An 18,896-nucleotide genomic window follows, 5' to 3' on the forward strand; every position below is an offset into this window, starting at 1 on the left:
GACTACTTCAGTGAAGTACTGTCCAAAAACCACTATGCATAAAGCCATACCCTTTTTACTTTATGTACTGTGGAAGATTAAAAGCTGTTTCTTGTTTTGCTTCCTAGCCCTCAGACTTGTCAAATCCTCACCCCATATATTTAAATTCAGCATCCTAGGCTAAACCATAGTCATGGAAAAGCCCTTTTGGTTTCATTCTTTTCTCAGTGGCTTACTGAGTGGCTATCATAGTACAGGAATTATGCCAGGTGTTGGGGATAAAACAGTGAACAATATAGACATACTCCCTGATCTCACAGGCCTCAACCATCCACAGAAATACTGCCTGCACCCTGCTTCCTATCCGTAAGATAAATGCTTCGCCCTTATCTTATGGATAGGAAGCAGGATGCGGGCAGTACTGTGGGCAGAATTTAAATTGGAAACAGGCAGTTTCCAATTTAAAGTAAGTTGTAGGGGACATGTTTATACAAAACCGTGCGTACTCTGTTTCTGCCCTTTTGACTCCATTAAAATGAACATGCCACAGTCACCAGGTGGTTATCTAGTGATAGGATGCAGCTGTGTATTAAGGACTTGTACCCTGGGTGGTGAGAAGACCCTGATTGGTTTTATTAGTGCATTTCTGTAAGTGACTGGGATAATCATGTTCAGTTCAGCATTTTATGTGAGTTTCTGAAAGCTCTTTAATCAACTCCATAGACAAGATTATAGTGTTGCACAGCAATAGGCATGGGCCATGTCTGCACTGGAGGTAAGTTGCAAGGTACACCCACGGGTGATTTATCACTCTTACAAAGATGATAACTAATGAAGACCGCATCTAGAATGCTCTTACTGGAGATGGTTTACAGAGCATTTTTAATCATCATACTTAGATTTATATTAATATTTCTTTTCAAACTAAATTATTCCAAACTGTGCCCTGAGATACCATTTGGCCTCAAGTTCTTTTCTTTCGTCTGTATTAAGGTGCAAATAAAAAAGACTAGTAGGAAAAGAAGGCCTTATTTATGAAGGTTGTCTATAGCTCTGAGCTTGGTAGCTACATAAAATGAGTAATAACCTAAATAAGTAAAACTAATGAAGATCTAACTAGATTACTTTGCTTAATATTAACATTTTACCCGCCCCCCGCCGTGAAACATTTGGCAGATGTTCTGCAGGACTCATGAGGACATTGGTGGCTACAGCTGCTTCTGGCACTGCCCCCCCAACCCCCCAGTGAGGTGAACTTCTTTACACATCCAGCAAGCTTTAGTTATCTTCTTCTCCCATTTGAGATAACTGTGGCTACAAGAATCTCAGTTAAATCAGATGTTTAAATTAGGTGCCAAAAAATCTTACAGACACTGAACTAATACTTAAATAAAGGAACACTTCAGTTCTCCATAAAATCTGGTGTCATTTTCCAAAGAAACAGAGGATCTTTGTTTCACACCCGTGGTACTGGAATTGCAACAGTGAGGCATTCTAGCTCTCACATGCCAATGCGAGTGGCATTCATTCTTGCTCACTCATTTCTGCTTCTCATTGTCACACTTGGAGGCTCTTTGGGGGTATGTTTCAGTTGATCTGAGAAACTGGGTGTTACCAATTTACTAGAGAGTTTCTTAAAATGTATCTGAAACAAACTATTAATGGGCATTCTGTGGTGGTAAAACCAGGCAACGCCTCCCTACACTATCTGTCCTTTCAGAGCTAAGAATCTGTTATTTTGAATTGTTCACGAAGAGTGATTCTGACTCTGCTTCAGTGCACACTTTACAAACCATTGAGCCTCATCAAAGGAGTGAGTTGAGCTGAGGAATTAGAGTAAAGAATACAGGTATAGTGCCGGGCGTGGTGGCTCACGCCTGTAATCCCAACATTTTGGGAGGACAAGGAGGGTGGATCACCTGAGGTCAGGAGTTCGAGACCAGCCTGACCAACATGGAGAAACCCTGTCTTTACTAAAAATACAAAATTAGCTGGACGTGGTGGCACATGCCTGTGATCACAGCTACTCAGGAGGCTGAGGCAGGAGAATCGCTTGAACCCAGGAGGCGGAGGTTGTGGTGAGCCGAGATCACGTCACTGCACTCCAGCCTGGGCAACAAGAGTGAAATTCCATCTCAAAAAAAAAAAAAGAATAGAGGTATAGGACAGTATCCGAGACTTCAGATGCCATCTCACCTCATTCCCTTATTTTCTTGATGAGGATACCAAAGGAGCCCAGAAGGTTCTTAGGCATTGCCAGGGCAGGAGCTCCTGATCATCCAGTCAGGGGTGTGTGTGTGTGTTTTTATTTGCTTTGTTATGTCACTGTACTGTTTGCCTTTCATGGTTGACTGTTTAAGTTCTTACTCTTTTTTTAAAAAAAAGCTTGAAGTTTCAGAAGTCAAGTCGCATCATATACTTAAATGGTATGGAGGATACATTCATTGTCATTTTATACAAGTGAGCATAGTAGAGACTTGGCATTTCTAAAATCCAAGATAAGATTATTCTGGATAAGCCAAAGTTTTAGTTTAAACAAAATATGTAAAATTTGATTACATATGGACTAAGGTTCATTAAGTGACATTAAAACCAGTATGGTTTAAACTGCTTGATTCCAGCCTTTTATGCATTTTTTATTTTGAAGTTGGCAGTTGGAACCACTCTTCAGAAAGCCCTTCCCCTGTGAATGAATTTGAACTGTTTTTTTTCTTGGAAGATATTATAAGTTAAAAAGAAGCATGAGAATCCAGTAGTACATTCTCAAGTGCTTTTACCAGGATTGATCTACTTAAGTTTTAAGGTACTCAGAATTACAGGAAAAATTCAGCATAGCTGCTTTTTTTTTTTTTTTTTTTTTTTTTTTTTGAGGGGGCAGGGGGATTTGCATCTTTTAAAAGGAAGTAGTCAGTGTTTTCTTTTGATTATGTAACGTCCTACAAACCTTTAATGCATTTGAGAATCAACTTGTTGAATAGATTTGAATTTCATTAAGTTTGGTTATAGCAATCATAAAGGTTTAAAAACCCTTTATGTGCAAAAGATATTAAAAAATGCAGATATGTTACAGAGCTGCTCTTTCTTAAATAGTAATTGTGAGAATTCTTGCCCTTTGTGGGAAAAAATTTTGAATTAAAAAATAAAAGCTCCATGAATGATTAATGACCAAGAAATCTTGTGATATTTTTTAAAACAGCTATGAAAGAATACCATTCACTAGTAAAAGTGCTAGAAAACACAAAAATTGCTCCATTACTTAGAGGTTTTTTTTGTTTTGTTGTTGTTGTTGTTTGTTTTAGATTTTCTGATTCAAAAACCAGCAGACTCGAGCAACGATAGCTTAAATGTGGATGACTTTGGTCTAAATCTTTACTGTTATTTACCTCTTTGATTGTTTCGTTATGTATCAATCTGAGGGAAAAAAGTTCTTGTTAGGATATTAGTAAAATTATGGTTAGTGGTGTCACTTTTTCTATTATTGCCAAGAATGGTTGGTTAGGATTGCTATTCTAAGTATTATTTAACGATGCCTCTCATCTTGAAGTTTCCCCTCCCAAGAGATTCTGAACACTAAATGTGATTCTCTTACATTCTTATTCCAAGGAGGAGAACTAATGTAAGAACTTAAAAATCTTTTGCATGTTTTCTTCATAATGCAAAAGAGCAAATACTAAGAAGGGCTAACTTTCTTGAAAATATGACTGGCTTCCTATAGGACAGCGACCATTATTTGCTGTTGCTAGGAATACAAGAAGTGCTTGAAAATTCAGATCACATTAGCATGTTACAGCATTTGGCATTTTTCATACAAGAGGGTTATCTTGCTAACATTAACTGCTTAAGGACAGAAGGCATAACACAAGATTAGAATAACTGCCCAAAGTTGGAAAATGGAATATTAAACGACCCGTACTGCATCTATGTTCCTTATACTGTGCTGGGACCACAAAAGAAGACTAAGTCAACATCTGCCCTCTAGATCCAGGATCTAGCAAGAAAGACAAAGAAGTAGACCTCTAGCAATCTGATACAGTATGAATGACTTGAGGCATGAATAGTTTCATGGAGCACAAAGAAGTAGGTAGGTAGTGGTCCTGTGTGAAGTTTGCAGTGCAGAAGGAGTTTAGCTTTTATAATCTTACAAGCAGGTGACTTCTGAGCTGGCAGAGAAATGCAGTAGGGGGCTTCCCAGGAAAGGAATCAGCATGAGCAACGGCATGAAAATGCATGGCATGCTCAAGGAATGGCAGTATGGTCTGGTTAATTCCGTTCCTTCTTTCAGCCAACACATATGAAACACCTGTTTGCCAGGTGCGGCATTAGGTACTGGGGCTACAAAGATGAATAGATCCTCTTCTCTGCCTTCAAGAACTAAAAGTCTAGAGTGGGAAACAAGTAAACAGATCAATTATAATTAAACTTGGTGAGTGTGTAACCGAGCTGTGAACACATTGCTCTGGGAATGGAGAAAAGGGAGTGATTTGTTCAATCTGATCTTCGGGAGAGGATTAGAGTAATTACCACAGAAGTCTTCTCAGAGGTGGTAATTCAGGAGCTTGGTTTCAAAGCCTGAGTAAGAGTTGGCCAGGTGAAATAGAGAGAAACAGAGCATTTGAGATCAACTCTAAGAATCTGAATTGTATCTATACATTGATAGTAAATCAACATATTTGTATTCAAGGGATGGTTTGGTTTCATTTCTCAGTATTTGAGGCTCATCATTCTGAACATGACTGATTTTATAGGGCTGTAGAAAATAACTGTGATTACTAGAATTTGCTAGCTGTTTAGAATCTGAGTAACCAAGACCTTCCTGTAACATGAAAGCAGCTTTTCAAAGACTATTAAGATGTGTTATAAACCAGAAATGTGGCATTTGTGTGCTGTCAATGAACTTTCCTTCCAGTGCCAGCCTTTAATCATTTAGAGGCAATACTGGTAGATTAAAATTTGCCCATTTCTACTGTATGCCTCGTGTTTTCATGAACAGTCTTTCAGATGTCTGGCTGTATCTGACTTGTAAAGCTACACTATTCTTTGCTTCTTGTTTAGATGAGTCAAAAGGAGGAATGCTGAAATTCAAGCTAGTTTCTACATTTGTATAGATGTGAAGAACAGCATTACTACAACTGTTTATCCTTAGCTACATGGGAATTTTGAGGTTTGGTTTGGGTTTTTTGCTTTGTTTTGTTTTTGAGACGGAGTCTCCCTGTGTTGCCCAGGCTGGAGTGCAGTGGCACGATCTCAGCTCACTGCAGCCTCCACCTCCCAGGTTTAAGTGATTCTCCTGCTTCAGGCCCCCAAGTAGCTAGGATTACAGGCATGTACCACCATGCCTGGCTAATTTTTGTATTTTTAGTAGAGATGGGGTTTTACCATGTTGGCCAGGCCGGTCTCGAACTCCTGGCCTCAAGTGATCTGCCTCCCAAAGTGCTGGTATTACGGAGTGAGCCACCATGCCCAGCCGTTTTGAGGATTTTTAAATGTACTATAAATGAGACATCTCACACTACTCAAAATAGATGTTTCAATATTAGAATTTTGAATACAGTTACCATAGATTTTTTTTACTCAAGAGTCAATTTTGTTTCAGATGTCCAGAGAGACTATTATCTGACAAAAATGCTAAGGATAGACTTTGGTCATTATATTTGTTTTGATGTAGGTAAGAGTAACAGACAATAATGATGCCTTATAACAAGATATATAGATAGTACGTGTGAATGTATGTAGGTGGGGTAGGTAAGTAGATAAGAAGAATTGAACTAATAAAACCAGAAATTATGTGAGAATATGCACTAAGAGGCTGGAGAAACCTAAGCGTCCAGAATTGTTGGCCTCAGTTTCTTATAGGTCAGATTTAGTCCTTCAGGGTTTTGAGGGGTTTTTTTTTTTTTTTTTTTTTGGTTCTCTTGTAATTGGATGATGACTGCTACTAAAAGGCCAAACACTTTAGCAGTTGCCCAATTCCTTCTCCTTTAGCAGTCACTTAAATGGCAGTGATGTTGACTTAAATGACAGCCATTCTGTCTAAAAGGCCATGGTTAATCAAAAGAGTATCAGTCAAATGTGTGTGCCTACTATATGCTCAGTTGCAGACAATCTTCTCCAAGAGCTTCCCTCATTTGAGAAAAATAATATATGTACACAAATTACTTTTTTTAAAAAAAGTGTTCAAGTATATACTCAAAATGATCTTGTCCGATTTTGGAGATTATCAGTGAAAAACCTCTTCTAGAGCAGTGGTTCTCAAAGTGTAGTCCCCAGACCGGCAACGTCTACATCATCTGGGAAATCGTTAGAAAAGCAGATTCATGGGACCTACCCCAGACCTACTGAGTCAGAAACTCTGTTTCTGATCTGTGTTTTAACAAATGTTCTGGGTGATTCTGGCGCATGCTGAAGTTTGAGAACCATTCTTCTAGAGAAACAGAAAAGAACATTAGATGTGTAGTTGGTACTTAAAATTATCAGGAATATGACTACCTGAGCAAAGAATTGGCCAATAACCCACATCAGTGGGGAGCCTTAAGGATAGGGACGGAGGGAGGGTGGGCGATGGGATCACTTATGAAGACAGATGAATAGGGCTGCTAACTGAGGAGGCATCAGGCCGCGGCTGTGGAAGTGAAAAGGAAGCCAGGCCACCAACTGAAGACTCCTTTGTTGTAAAGTTTCAGAGGTTTCTTCAAGTTGAAGAGAAAGACTAACTGACAAATTGAAAAGTCAAGGAGAGCTGATGTAACAAACAGGGATGAAAATACGCATACTAAAAGGTCATCTCAAATACAAGTAGTTATTTAAAGCAAAATTACAGGGGAAAAAAGTCTTAATGGCCAACTTTGACATTCAACTTTGAGTTGAAAGATTTCAGCAGCTTTAAATATAAGCTTTGAGTAAAGTATCCTTCAATAAGGGTTGAGCAGACCAAGATTTTTTTTTTTTTTTTTCCAAGACAAGATCTCAGTTGCCCAGGCTGGAGTGCAGTGGCATCATCACTGTTCACTGCAACCTCCACCTGCCAGGATCAAGTGATCCTCCCACTCTTAGCTTCTCAAGTAGCTGGGACTACAGGTGCACGCTACCATGCCTAGCTAATTTTTTTTCCCCTTTGGTAGAGATGGGGTTTTGCTACGTTGCCCAGGCTGGTCTCGAACTCCTGGGCTCAAGCAGTCTGCCCACCTCAGCCTCCCCAAGTGGTGGGATTACAGGCGTGAGCCCGCTGCACCTGGCTGAGCACACCAAGATTTCTAAATCAATTTGAACACTTGAGATTATCCAAATTTAGCTAAGTTGTATTGGATTCCCTCTCAAGGTTACCTGCCAAGGGAAGGGTTGTGGGAGAAAAATCTGAGCTAAACATCTGAACTATCAGGTAGTAAGATGAATGAATTACTGGCATTTTAACCTAATTGTGAATTTATTTCATGTGTCATATTAGGTTCTCCTTCCTGAGCCGAATCTGTGGATACAGTGTAGTGTGTAACACTTCCTTTAAAGATGTCACTCACCTAAGGAAACTTCAGGGGCTAGCTGGAATTTCCTAATCCAATTCTTAATTAAAAGCTTTATTAAAAGCTACCTTTTGGAAATACTAAGTCCTTGTAAGTCTTCTCATCTAAATTATAACAGAGAAAGCATCTCCACAGGAGCCTAAAAATAGTATTTTGATTTGAGAGGATAATGCTAGTTTTGAAGAAGAAAAAATAACCACATTGAAATTGAACCTAGGTAAATTAGTCTTGTTTTATGTTCTCTCCAGATATTTTGTACCAAAAATGAGTTCATGTGAAAAGTGAGATTAAGTGTCACATCTACTATGTGACAGATGCTATGCTAATAAATTTGCGTATAACCTCGCAATTCTCCACCAATCAGCTAGGAATTATCATCCTGATTGTATGGATGAGAAAACAGACTTTGATAAGTTAAATGACAAAACCATAAGAAACTAGATCTGATTCCAAAGCCTTTATTCTTTTTACCCTAATTCCTCTACAATTTTAGGAAGCTAAAAACATAGGAGTAGGACCTTAACCCACTTGCAGACAACAATTTTCTTGAATATATATTCCGTATAGCCTTTTTATCTCAGTTGACTTGAATGCTCACCCTAAAATCCAAAACTAAGACTAACTGGGTTAAGGAAAATCTTAATACAGAGACAGAAGTAAGTATGCCCTAAAATACCTAGAACAGGTCTAGAGACCCATCAACATGAGAATATATTTAGTTCAGCAACCAAATGAATAGAATCGGCTTCTTGTTTGGGATTTTGAAAGTACTTTTTCATTTGAACTAGTCTTAGGCAATGGTCTCGCCTGACCTTCAGCGAGCCTCAGTGTCTACTGGGTGGCAAGAAATAGATACCGTGAATGGTCACAGCATTATTTACAGCATTTAATCATTCTGGACCTCAAAGAGATTTGAGAACATTTCTCATTTTCCTAGTTATGGTAGGTAATTTTTTTTTTCTCTAACCAACTACTCAAGAGTCATTGAAGAGAAAAATCAGGACCCACTGAAAGTGTGGACACGAACCCTCCCTCTCAAACCTAGGATTCTAAACACTGCTTTTCTTGTTAGTATGGCGTGTTGTTACTATCGTACAAAGCCACCATTTTCCAATGAGTCTTCAAATCATTTGGAAGTGCATTTGGGAAACAAGAAAGAATCCTGTGCTTTTATTGTTTTTTGTTTCTTTATGAAACAAGTGGCAAGCAATACTTCTGAATGTTACATTGCATGACTAGGTCACAGAATTTCCCATTCTGCCTAAGAAGATGCCTTTTTTGAAGTGCTGTGTGTTTGATATAGCGATGGTACACTATTTGTAGAAAGTGGGTTTCAGTATAAACCATAACCACAGAGGTAAATCTATGGTTCAGTATGCGATTTGACGTACAGGAAGTATCTGGGTCTAATGATGAAACTTTTTAACTTTCCAGATGACAGAACAAAGGAAGCAGAAACAAAGAATTGGTCTTCTAGGACATCCTCCTCACATGAATGTCAACCCACAACAACCAGCATAAGCAAATGAAAGAAAGGAATTGTATTTACCTTTTATAATTATTATTAGTGTGGGTATGGCTAATGAGTTCTGATTCACCCACGAAGGTTACATTTATGCTGAATACATTTGTAAATACTCAGTTTTATACTGTATGTATATGATTGCTACTCTAAAGGTTTGGATATATGTATTGTAATTAGAATTGTTGGCATGATGACATTTCATTTGTGCCAAAAATATTAAAAATGCCTTTTTTGGAAGGACTAACAGAAAGCACCTGATTTGCACTTGAACCAGATTATAGATTTAAAAGTATATGACATGTATTTTGTATTTAAAACTAGAATAGCCAGTATTTATGTTTTTTATAAAACTGTGCAATACGAATTATGCAATCACAATACATTTGTAGCTCCCGAGTGTCCTAAAGGGAGTGCACTTCTTTGAAGCTGGTGTGTTAATACTATGTAATAAATGGTTAACTTTCAAATGATGCTGCTGCCAAAATTATATTAATAGTGAGTTTCAGGCCCCTGGGCATTTTGTACCATGTAATTATCCTCTGGTGATGCTGTTTCTCGTTAGTGGCAGTAGTGCCTCCGTCTCCTAGTGATAATGCTCCAAGTCTATGAACTGTTAAATCAGCATTCATTTTAAGAAAAGCAACTTTAGTTTCAAAGATACTTTTAAGCTTCTAAATTGATCATTTAAACTATTTCTTTAAATAAGAGAGCCAAATTAGAGGCTCATACTTTAGCTTGTGAAGAAGATAATGAATTTTTTAAAGGGAACTTTCTATGCAATGTTCAGGATAAATGCATACTGCTGGCCAATCAGTGTCATCTCCTGGGTAAATTTTGATGTCGCATTATAAAGACATGCATAATTGATGGTTTCTAGATTATCTAGTCCAAACAATAGAGTTTATTTTTTCTTCATCTGAACCAACATGCTACAGTAGCTAAGAAGTATTAAAACTATATACATCCATATAAAGATGAAATATGAACTATCTCATTAGAAGTCATAGTTGACCACAGACATGTTATTCTTCTGAAAGAGCCACATTTTGGTTTTATTTCTTGTCACATGATTTCTTTTCTTGATGGATGAAAAATATGAAAGGAAACTTTTATATCTGTTGCCTAGTTTTGTACATGGATCTCATTTTACAAGAGAATCTCTCTGCAAAAAAAAAAAAAACAGTTTAAAAATGCATTGAAAGCAGAGTTCTGAAATGAGTAAAGTTTGTAAATGCATATATAAAAATATTTAATAAATGATGCAGAATATACAGTGACTGGTTGGTGGCTTTCATTTGGCATTTGTGACTTAACTGCTATTCCATTTATGTACTTTCTTTAGGATCAGTTTGAAGTACAGTCGGTTTGATTACCAGGTTAATTCAGAAAATGTTTACCTGATTATTTAAAAAAACACTTGCTGTTGTTATGACAGCTCTGAGGAGAATTATTAGAACAAACATTGGGGAGTATTTAGTACAACATTCATTCATTCTTCTGGATTAGTGACTGCCAGCCAGGCTGTCGGGAGCGCCCTACTAAATCTCCTGTCTCTTCTGCTTTTACTGGGGGATCTTTAATTTGCTGTGTGCCATGTGGAAGTATCGGGAACAGCTGAAATTTGTTTTAGTTCATGCCCAGTGGTCAGGGTCCTTCAGCAAAGTGTAAAATGTTTTTACAGAGCCACCTTGCCTGTCCAAACGTAGTAAAACCTGTTCCCTCCTCAAATCAGTGCTTGCCCTGGCTGCTTTTTTTGACACTAATTTTCTCTATGCTTTGGTAAATAATACCACCCAATGTTGGGAACTAGGTCAAGATTAAATTCCAGTTAAATGGCTAGTTTTGTAACTAATGCTTCTACTTTATAAATTTGATAACTTAAAAACAAATTAATTTTTTCCAGTCAGTGCAGCCTGTCTCCACAAAATTTTTCCATCGTAAGGCAAGCCTAAGACAGATACCTACTTTTATCTGTAAGCAAAATGGCAATCTATGCTAACCCCCACAATGCACACATTAGCTAGCAAGGACTTGCTTTTCCCCTGGGCTTTCTCTTTGATCTCTCACACTGCCCAACGAGATGTGGCAGTGTGTGTGGTTTGTCTCCCAAGTCCCATCCAGTTCATTGGAAAGTTCTGCATTGACATGCCAAGTTGCAGCTTTTACAGGTTTGTCATGTTCCATTTGAATCCTGTCACTTAAGATATAAATCTTCATTCAGTGTGCCAGCTTCAGCAGAAAATAAACGAAATTGGAATGCCACTCCTCCCTCCATGCAGTAGATCCTACCCTTGCCGTTTGGGTGTGAACACTAAAGCTAGTAGAATTGAAACATACAATTTGAAGTGAAAACTCCGGGGGCCTTTGATGTGTAATTGTAATTCTGCCTGCTTCCTTCACATTGTGCCTTTCCAACACCTCTATTTTAAGATCAAGGTCCAAGTCACCTTCAAAGTTACCTACCCGGATGAAGAATTAGTGTTATCAGGGTGAAAGTATGGTAGTACTCGCTAACATGAGAGAAAGCCAATGTTACTTAATTAAGCCATTTTATTTAATATTAACAGTTTGCTACAGCACCAATTCAAGTTTCAAGCATCTGCAAATTTCCCTAACTAATCCATCTGTTAAAGGGTCTGGGAAATTCCATTCCACTTCTCTAACATTTGTGGGATCTTACCCTTTCCATGCCCCTAAAATTGTGTAGTGATTACCCTGTTTCTCTCTACAAGTAAAGCTTCCACTCTGTTTGCTGTCGTCCTGAAGGTCTAAATGATATTCCATCCACCCTGTTCAGTTTTCTCCTAGTGCTGTATTTATCTGTATTTACCCTGCCCCCAACATACAAAATATGACTTTAATGTCATTCTTTAAAGATTTGATACTATTCACTTAGTTTGCTTTCAAGTTCATGTTCCTTATTCATTGTTCTTCATTCAGCCAATTTTTTTTTATTTGGTTGCCCTTTCTGGAAATCAATTGCTTGATTTTGCTCCTGTAAAATGTGCTCTTTCACTGCGTTTCACTGAGCACTTCCTAATATAAATTCTAAAGCAAGCATCCTTTGTCTATGGACGCTAGTCAACAACTCAGCCTTTGCAGCAGCAAACTATACAGAGCTGTTTGTCTCCCAAGTCCCATACAGTTCACTGCAAAGTTCTGCATTGACATGCCATGTGCTAGTGGGAAATTACTAAGATCTCTAGAGTAAATTAAGAAAATAACCTGTTAAAAACTCAATTGTAGATCTCTGTATACTCCTACTATAGACGGCTTGGATAAAGCCTTAATGGGCAAAGGCCTGAAAGTTTCTGATAGTTATTTTAAGGCTAATAATGAGACCCTTAGCCTGACTTTTGAGCGGCAGGGAGGGAAATTTACTCCTTCCAAACTGTTACAATCATAACTACATACTTATAGAAGCAGAGTTGGGTTTTTGCCAAAACTTTTTCGCCAAAACTTTTTTTTTTTTTTTACAGATTTTGATAACATACGTGCTTGTTAGAAGACAAATTATATGACAGTAAAAGTCACCTTTACATAAGACAGAATAACAAAGGACTGTTATTGAAGGCTCTTGAGACACTGTACAGCAGAAGTGAAACTTATTTTAAATAAGATAAGAAATTGAGCCCTAAAGAAGTAAAGTAACTTGTCCAAGGACTCAGCTCCAGAATAAATAAAGATCTCCTGACTAAGCAAAATACAGAGAGCTCTTCCCACTTGCTATCTCCCTTCCAGAGTGGGGATATCAGTAATCAGTTTCCCTTAACTGTTCTCCCTTTACACAAAGCATTCATGCAGAACTTTATTTTGTCCTACATGTGGAACAATACAGATTGATTTGTTTTTTCTTTTCAAATCTCTTTCATGAGATGATGGATCTACACATTAGAAAGTATTGACTCTGAATATTTTGTCAAGACCGAAAACTTTGTGGCAAAGATAAGGAGTGAGTGAGCTCCTGAAGTCTTTATCTTTCACAACTACAAATCTCTTGTATATAGCTCTTATATAACTGCATTTTTCAAAGGGAGAATCCGTCCTCGGCCCAATCAAGGTGGCTTCTTCCTAGGGAGCATGTGCAGGTGCACACTGGTGTCCTCTCCTACCACAGATGTCAGTGTTCATTGGCAAACTCTGCCTTGGTCTTGTTCCTTACACTAATAATTTAACAATCAACTAGAATGTTGGAAAATCCCCATAAAGATTTCAATTTTACAGAAAGTACCCAAAATTCCACTAGTTTTGCATCACAAAGTAGTGGTTGAAGTAAAGTTTTGAGTAAAACGCCGTGTGTGTGGTTTTTGTGGGTGGTTGCAGCTCAGAACAACGTTTAGGCCTCATCAATCATCTGACAGGAGAGAGTATGATGGCAATTTATAATAAGATGATTATAATTATCATACACATTTTTCCATCTTTGGTATCATATGCCACATTAAGCAACTCTTACAACCTAGAGGCCAATTCAGAAGCATAACAAGCCTTCAGGTCTGGAACCAAAAAAGTCTACCAAAATCAAGAAAATAAAAAGGTAGATCACTGGTGGGTGTTTACATTTGGTCAACTCAGACAATGCTATGGAGTCTCCAGCTGCTGGTATTTTAAACTCATTTGGTAAAACAAATCTCTAGCTTACTAGGGCAAGACATTAAAAAAAAAATTACCAAAGGAACATCTTAAAATACTTTAAGGTCATGACAAACCAGTGTGAAAGAGAATCCTAACACCTAGAAGCGAAACTGCATCATCCACCCAGCTTGGAGAGAAAAAAGAAAGCCAAAAACCACTATAGAATAAGAATGCAGAGTTTGAGAAAACCCCTAAGGTGAATTCTGAACAACAACACAAAGAGTCCAACAACATAAGAAGTGCACACTGTACGCAAGAACCACTAACGGAAAGAGTTTGCCAGCACATTTATAATGACCTCACAATACATGGTTGGTCCCAGGTAAATGGAACTTCAGACAATCCAGGAATTTCACCTATTTACTCCTGAGCATAAGTCACATACTTATCACCTATGGTATCTCATAAAGTCTTGTAAGAAGCTTTTTGTAAAAGTTCTCTGCAGAAAAACAATTAAGGTTTGGTATAAAACTGGGACAAGGAGACCTGAACCACACAAGGCTTAGGTGCTAGGTCTATGTCAGAGTCCACATGGCAACATGGTGGAATGGAAAGAACATGGGCCTTAAAGTGGATAAGAATTCTAATACCATTTCTGTCACTGAAATGTTATAACTTGGAGCAAGTTACTAATGATTTTAATGTGCAGTTCCCCCCTTCTCAAGAGTAGAGATGCTACCACGTACTTCTTTGGGCAGTAATGGGCATCAAGAAAGATAATCTATACCAAGAGTCTGGCATATACCTGATACGTTACTTCCCATTCCTTTGCAACATGACCATTTCCTTTTTTTCATACCTATCCACAATCTCAGCTAACTATTGCATGACCAAAAGCTTCTTTCTGTTCCCACTAAATGGGTCTGATGTTATTACTGCGGGATCCTAAATCTACATGTCTTAACATGACATATTTGGGCCACATCCAGTCATTTTAAAAACTTTTATCTTTCTATCCAAAGTACGTTTTAACTATCAGTTTGAACTGAATAAATTCATAAAGAAACCTCTCATACAGCTTATGACTTCCAGATAACTATCCTCATATTTTTTAGCAGTGCTGGATTCAAATCTGACTTCTTTTCTTAAAATAAATCTTGGGCCAGGCACAATGGCTCACGCCTGTAATCTCAACACTTTGGGAGGCCAAAGTGGATGGATCACCTGAGATCAGGAGTTCGAGACCAGCCTGGCTAACATGACGAAACTCTGTCTCTACTAAAAATACAAAAATTAGCCAGGTGTGGTGGCGCATGCCTTTAGTCCCAGCTACTCAGGAGGCTGAGACAGGAGAATCACTTGAACTCGGGAGGCGGAGATTGCAGTGAGCCAAGATTGTGCCCCTGTGCTCCTGCCTAGGCAACAGAGTGAGATTCCATCTCTAAATAAATAAATAAAATAAATCTCTACAGAAAAAATGTTTTATCTTGGGAATGACAATATATTTCCTTAGTTTCTGAAATGCCTTCACTTACATTCTCATTTAAACCTCCCAGTCTTGTCAAGTAGATATTATCTCTGAAGTCTGAATGGTCCCAAGTTGTACTATCTTTAATTTAACATTCAAATACAAATTCTACATCTCACTACCTATAGAAGACCCAGAGCCTCTTTAATAATTTCTTTCTGAGAAGGATCCTGAGAAGGAGCAGAGACCCCACCTTGGGGGCCCGTGAGCCCCTCTGCAACCCGAGCATGAAAATAAAGGAAAATCTTGCATTCCTTCAAGGGCAATTCCAGGCACCTAGCTAGCCCTGAGAAGTGAATAAGCAACTTGTTGAGCAATAAAGTAATATAATAGCAGCCTCAGCGCAGTGGCTCATGATTTGGGAGGCTGAGGCAGGTAGACTGCTTGAGCCCAGGAGTTCAAGACCAGCCTGGGCAACATGGCAAAACCCCATCTCTACAAAAAATACAAAAATTAGCCAGGCGTGGTGGCACACACCCATAGTCCCAGCTATTCAGGAGGCTGAAGTAGGAGGATCTCCTGATCCCAGGGAGGTCAAGGCTGCAGTGAGCCAAGATCACACCACTGCACTCCAACCTGGGCAATAGAGTGAGACACTGTCTCTAAAATAAAATAACATAAAATAAAATAAATAAAATAAAATAAAATAAAATAATAAAATAAAATAAAATAAAATAAGGTAATAGTAGCCTAAAACAATAGCCAAGGAAGTCATGAGATGTTTGGTTCCCTAAAGAAACTATAGATAGTATCTTAACGTATGTCCTTGAGTTGTTTTTTAAAAACCCAGACCACTACCAAAGGAAAAATGCTGTCAGCTGGCAGGCAAATCTCAGATAAGGGGGAACGGAGGATGGAACTCTGACCACTGTTCTTTGTTCTAAATTTCTTCTTGAAGGGCCTGGAGGAAGTTATTGCCCACAGGCCAGAGCTAACATTCTTTTCTGCTGACCTCAAATTTTTCTACAAAGCTTCACCTCCTTAAACAATTGCACATTAGAAAATATCTCTGAATCCACCTATGATCTATGGGCTGTACCCTTCCACTCCTACTCCACTTTGAGATATCCCACCTTTTTAGGTTAAACCAATATGTAGCCTCATGTATTGATTTATGACTTTGCCTGTAACCTCTGCCACGCTGCCTTTAAAAAGCCTTACCTGTGTAAGCCATCTGGGAGTTCAGGTCTTAAGCATGACCTCCCTGATCCTCCTTGCCTGGTGCCCTGCAACAAATGCCCCACTTTCTCTCCCTGCAATCCCGATGTCAGTGTGTGGCTTTGCTGCTCTGGGTGGGCAGACCCAAGTTCAGCAAGTAACCATTCTAAGGAGGGTGTTTACACCTTCTTCATGATCCCTTGTCACTGTTTCATCCCAAATCCTGATTCCAACCCAATTATCTGTTCCTTCTCATCATCTCCCCTCTCTTTATTTCACTGGTGTGGACACAGCTCTCTCTCCTACCTGTCCCCAAAGCACCACTATCATCTGGGCTTTGTGAAGAGCAGATCTTTAGTGGAAGAAGATTACAATAAGGAATAGGAAACAATTAAAAATTGAGAATCAGTCATCAAAGCTCCCTCCCCCTTCCTTTTCACTCATGGGAGGAGCAACTTCTCTTCTCAGCCTGTTGGCAGGCAGGCATCTACTTTTTCTTTCCCACTTGCCTAAACAAACAAAAGCAAAACAAACCAACAACAACAAAAAAAACCTTCCTTCCAGCCTCAAGTGAAAACCAAAAATTCTTGTTTCTTTACTATGCAGAGCAATTGTAGCCCTCAGTTCCCAGTCATTCCTCTCTAGATTAGGCCTTTACCTTGGCCAAAAAAAAAAGGCTATAATTCTGTCATCCTTAGCTTCCACTTGCAGGGCAAACTGGCTGCTAAAATAGCATTTTTTTCTGATACATCCCTATTTTACGGAACAAGAAATGTCTTTAGAAAGTTGAAGTGATTTGGGCTGGGCGCAATGGCTTACGCCTATAATCCCAGCACTTTGGGAGGCCGAGGTGGGTGGATCACCTGAGGTTAGGAGTTCGAGACCAGCCTGACCAACATGGAGAAACCCTGTCTCTACTAAAAATACAAAATTAGCCAGGATTACAGGATTATGTGCCTGTAATTCCAGCTACTCGTGAGGCTGAGGCAGGAGAATCGCTTGAACCCAGGGGACGGAGGTTACGGTGAGCCAAGATCATGCCATTGCACTCCAGCCTAGGCAACAAGAGCAAAACTCCATCTCAAAAAAAAAAAAAAAAAAAAAAAAAGAAAGTTGAAGTGATTTGACCAAACCAGAACATCAGACCTGGGATTCAAAAGCCAGATCATCTGACCTCATGTATATTCCTCAGTATCCCAGTGCTTCACTATGTGAGGTGCCATCCAGCTATGTTCCTGTGTCTGCACCTCTACCTGCCCACCTTGCCTGGGGGAGATGTGTAAGGTATCAGAGTTCTAAGAGATGCAAAGAAAAGTCAGAGTTCTTAAAGGCAAAAGCTGCAACTAGTTCATTTCTGTTTTGTTAGTACCTAGCACAATTCCTCCCAAACAAAGAGGGTCAATGCCTTTGAGGGGTAAAAAAAAGATTATTTTTGAAACTTCACTTAATCTGCTTGTTTTGGAGCCAAGGGCAAGGAGGAGTCTTTCATTAAGGAACGAATATCTAGCAGTGGCCCAAAAAGAAGGTGCATATAGAACTGAACATCAGGCAGTCACTACTCTTTTTGTTGCTAACTGACCATTCAATCCTATAAACTAACCATTAATCATAATGCCTCTGGCTCCGGTAACCCTGCTTCACAACATTCTCCAATTTGCTCCCTCTAACCAGGGGATCCCAATCTCTCTCTTCCTCCCTCTTTCAACTCTTATAACAAAGCTGTGATTTAGCATGGTCTCTACGAACGTGCAAATTCAGACCCACATATACTTTCATACTCCTCTCTCCACCCAACTCCCTTATCTAACAATGCTAAAAGATAATCCCTCAACAATTCAGGTAGTATTATGGCAGTTCTCATTACACCTGAAGAGACAGAGCACATTTAAGTAGCCTAAAGAAATTATGGCCATTTTGAATAACAAATTATGGTTCATCTATACATAAACCATATGTAAATCACTTGAGTTAGAGTCTCCCAACCAGATTTAACAAATTTTAGTATTTCTGCTAATACTAGAAATTTCACAATGGGCCAAAGGACTTAGGGGTGGATGGAAGTCTTTCATAGCTCTTTTTGTACCATTCCATAGGATTTTAAACCGAAACTCTGACATGCTTTGGATCTGTGTCCCCACCTAAATCTCATGTAGAACTGTAATCCCTGTTGTTGAAGGTGGGACCTGGTGGGAGGTGACTGGATCCTGGGGGCAGAGTTCTCATGAACGGTTTAGCACCATCTCTCCTTGATACTGTATAGTGAGTGAGTTCTCATGAGATCTGGTTGTTTAAAAGTGTGTAGCACCTCCTGCACCCTCTCTTCCTTCTACTCCAGCCATTTGAAGTGCTGGCCCGCTGTTTTCCTTCCGCCATGACTAAGTTTCCTGAGGCTTCGAGGCCCAGAAGCAGAGCAGATGACACCATGCTTCCTGTACAGACTGCAGAACCGTGAGCCAATTAAACCTTTTTTTCTATAAAGTACCCAGTCTCAGGCATTTTTTTATGGTAGTGTGAGAATGGACTAATATAAATTCTCATACTTATGGGTAGAGTACAGTACAACCAATTTGAAAAACAACTGAAGTTAAAAAAAAATAAACACACCTACTAAAAAATC

The 18,896-nt window shown here is 38.9% G+C and overlaps 1 protein-coding gene and 1 long non-coding RNA gene across 7 annotated transcripts in view, besides 3 other annotated features; one reads left to right on the top strand and one right to left on the bottom strand.

Moving 5' to 3' along the window:
• Positions 1 to 10,295, top strand: part of ITPR1 (inositol 1,4,5-trisphosphate receptor type 1) — a 354,159-nt gene extending 343,864 nt beyond the window's left edge. For all 4 annotated transcript variants that reach the window (NM_001378452.1, NM_001099952.4, NM_001168272.2 and 1 more), the window contains 1 exon segment: positions 8,928 to 10,295. In NM_001378452.1, the coding sequence (NP_001365381.1) occupies positions 8,928 to 9,014 (87 nt within the window). In that variant the 3' untranslated portion in view covers positions 9,015 to 10,295.
• The window catches only part of LOC124906209 (uncharacterized), a 73,328-nt gene that overhangs the window by 22,920 nt on the left and 31,512 nt on the right, over positions 1 to 18,896 (bottom strand). The gene's annotated exons all lie outside the window — the stretch shown is intronic.
• Positions 13,161 to 13,280: an enhancer, noted in NCBI's record as "active region_19357". NCBI's record gives its function as "activates an Ori minimal core promoter by ATAC-STARR-seq in GM12878 lymphoblastoid cells {active_cell/tissue: GM12878}" and the evidence as "EXISTENCE:reporter gene assay evidence [ECO:0000049][PMID:35858748]".
• Positions 13,681 to 13,740: an enhancer, noted in NCBI's record as "active region_19358". NCBI's record gives its function as "activates an Ori minimal core promoter by ATAC-STARR-seq in GM12878 lymphoblastoid cells {active_cell/tissue: GM12878}" and the evidence as "EXISTENCE:reporter gene assay evidence [ECO:0000049][PMID:35858748]".
• Positions 14,101 to 14,180: an enhancer, noted in NCBI's record as "active region_19359". NCBI's record gives its function as "activates an Ori minimal core promoter by ATAC-STARR-seq in GM12878 lymphoblastoid cells {active_cell/tissue: GM12878}" and the evidence as "EXISTENCE:reporter gene assay evidence [ECO:0000049][PMID:35858748]".

The sequence above is a fragment of the Homo sapiens genome, chromosome 3 (genome assembly GCF_000001405.40).
Source record: "Homo sapiens chromosome 3, GRCh38.p14 Primary Assembly".
In the NCBI taxonomy this organism is placed as follows: domain Eukaryota; kingdom Metazoa; phylum Chordata; class Mammalia; order Primates; family Hominidae; genus Homo; species Homo sapiens.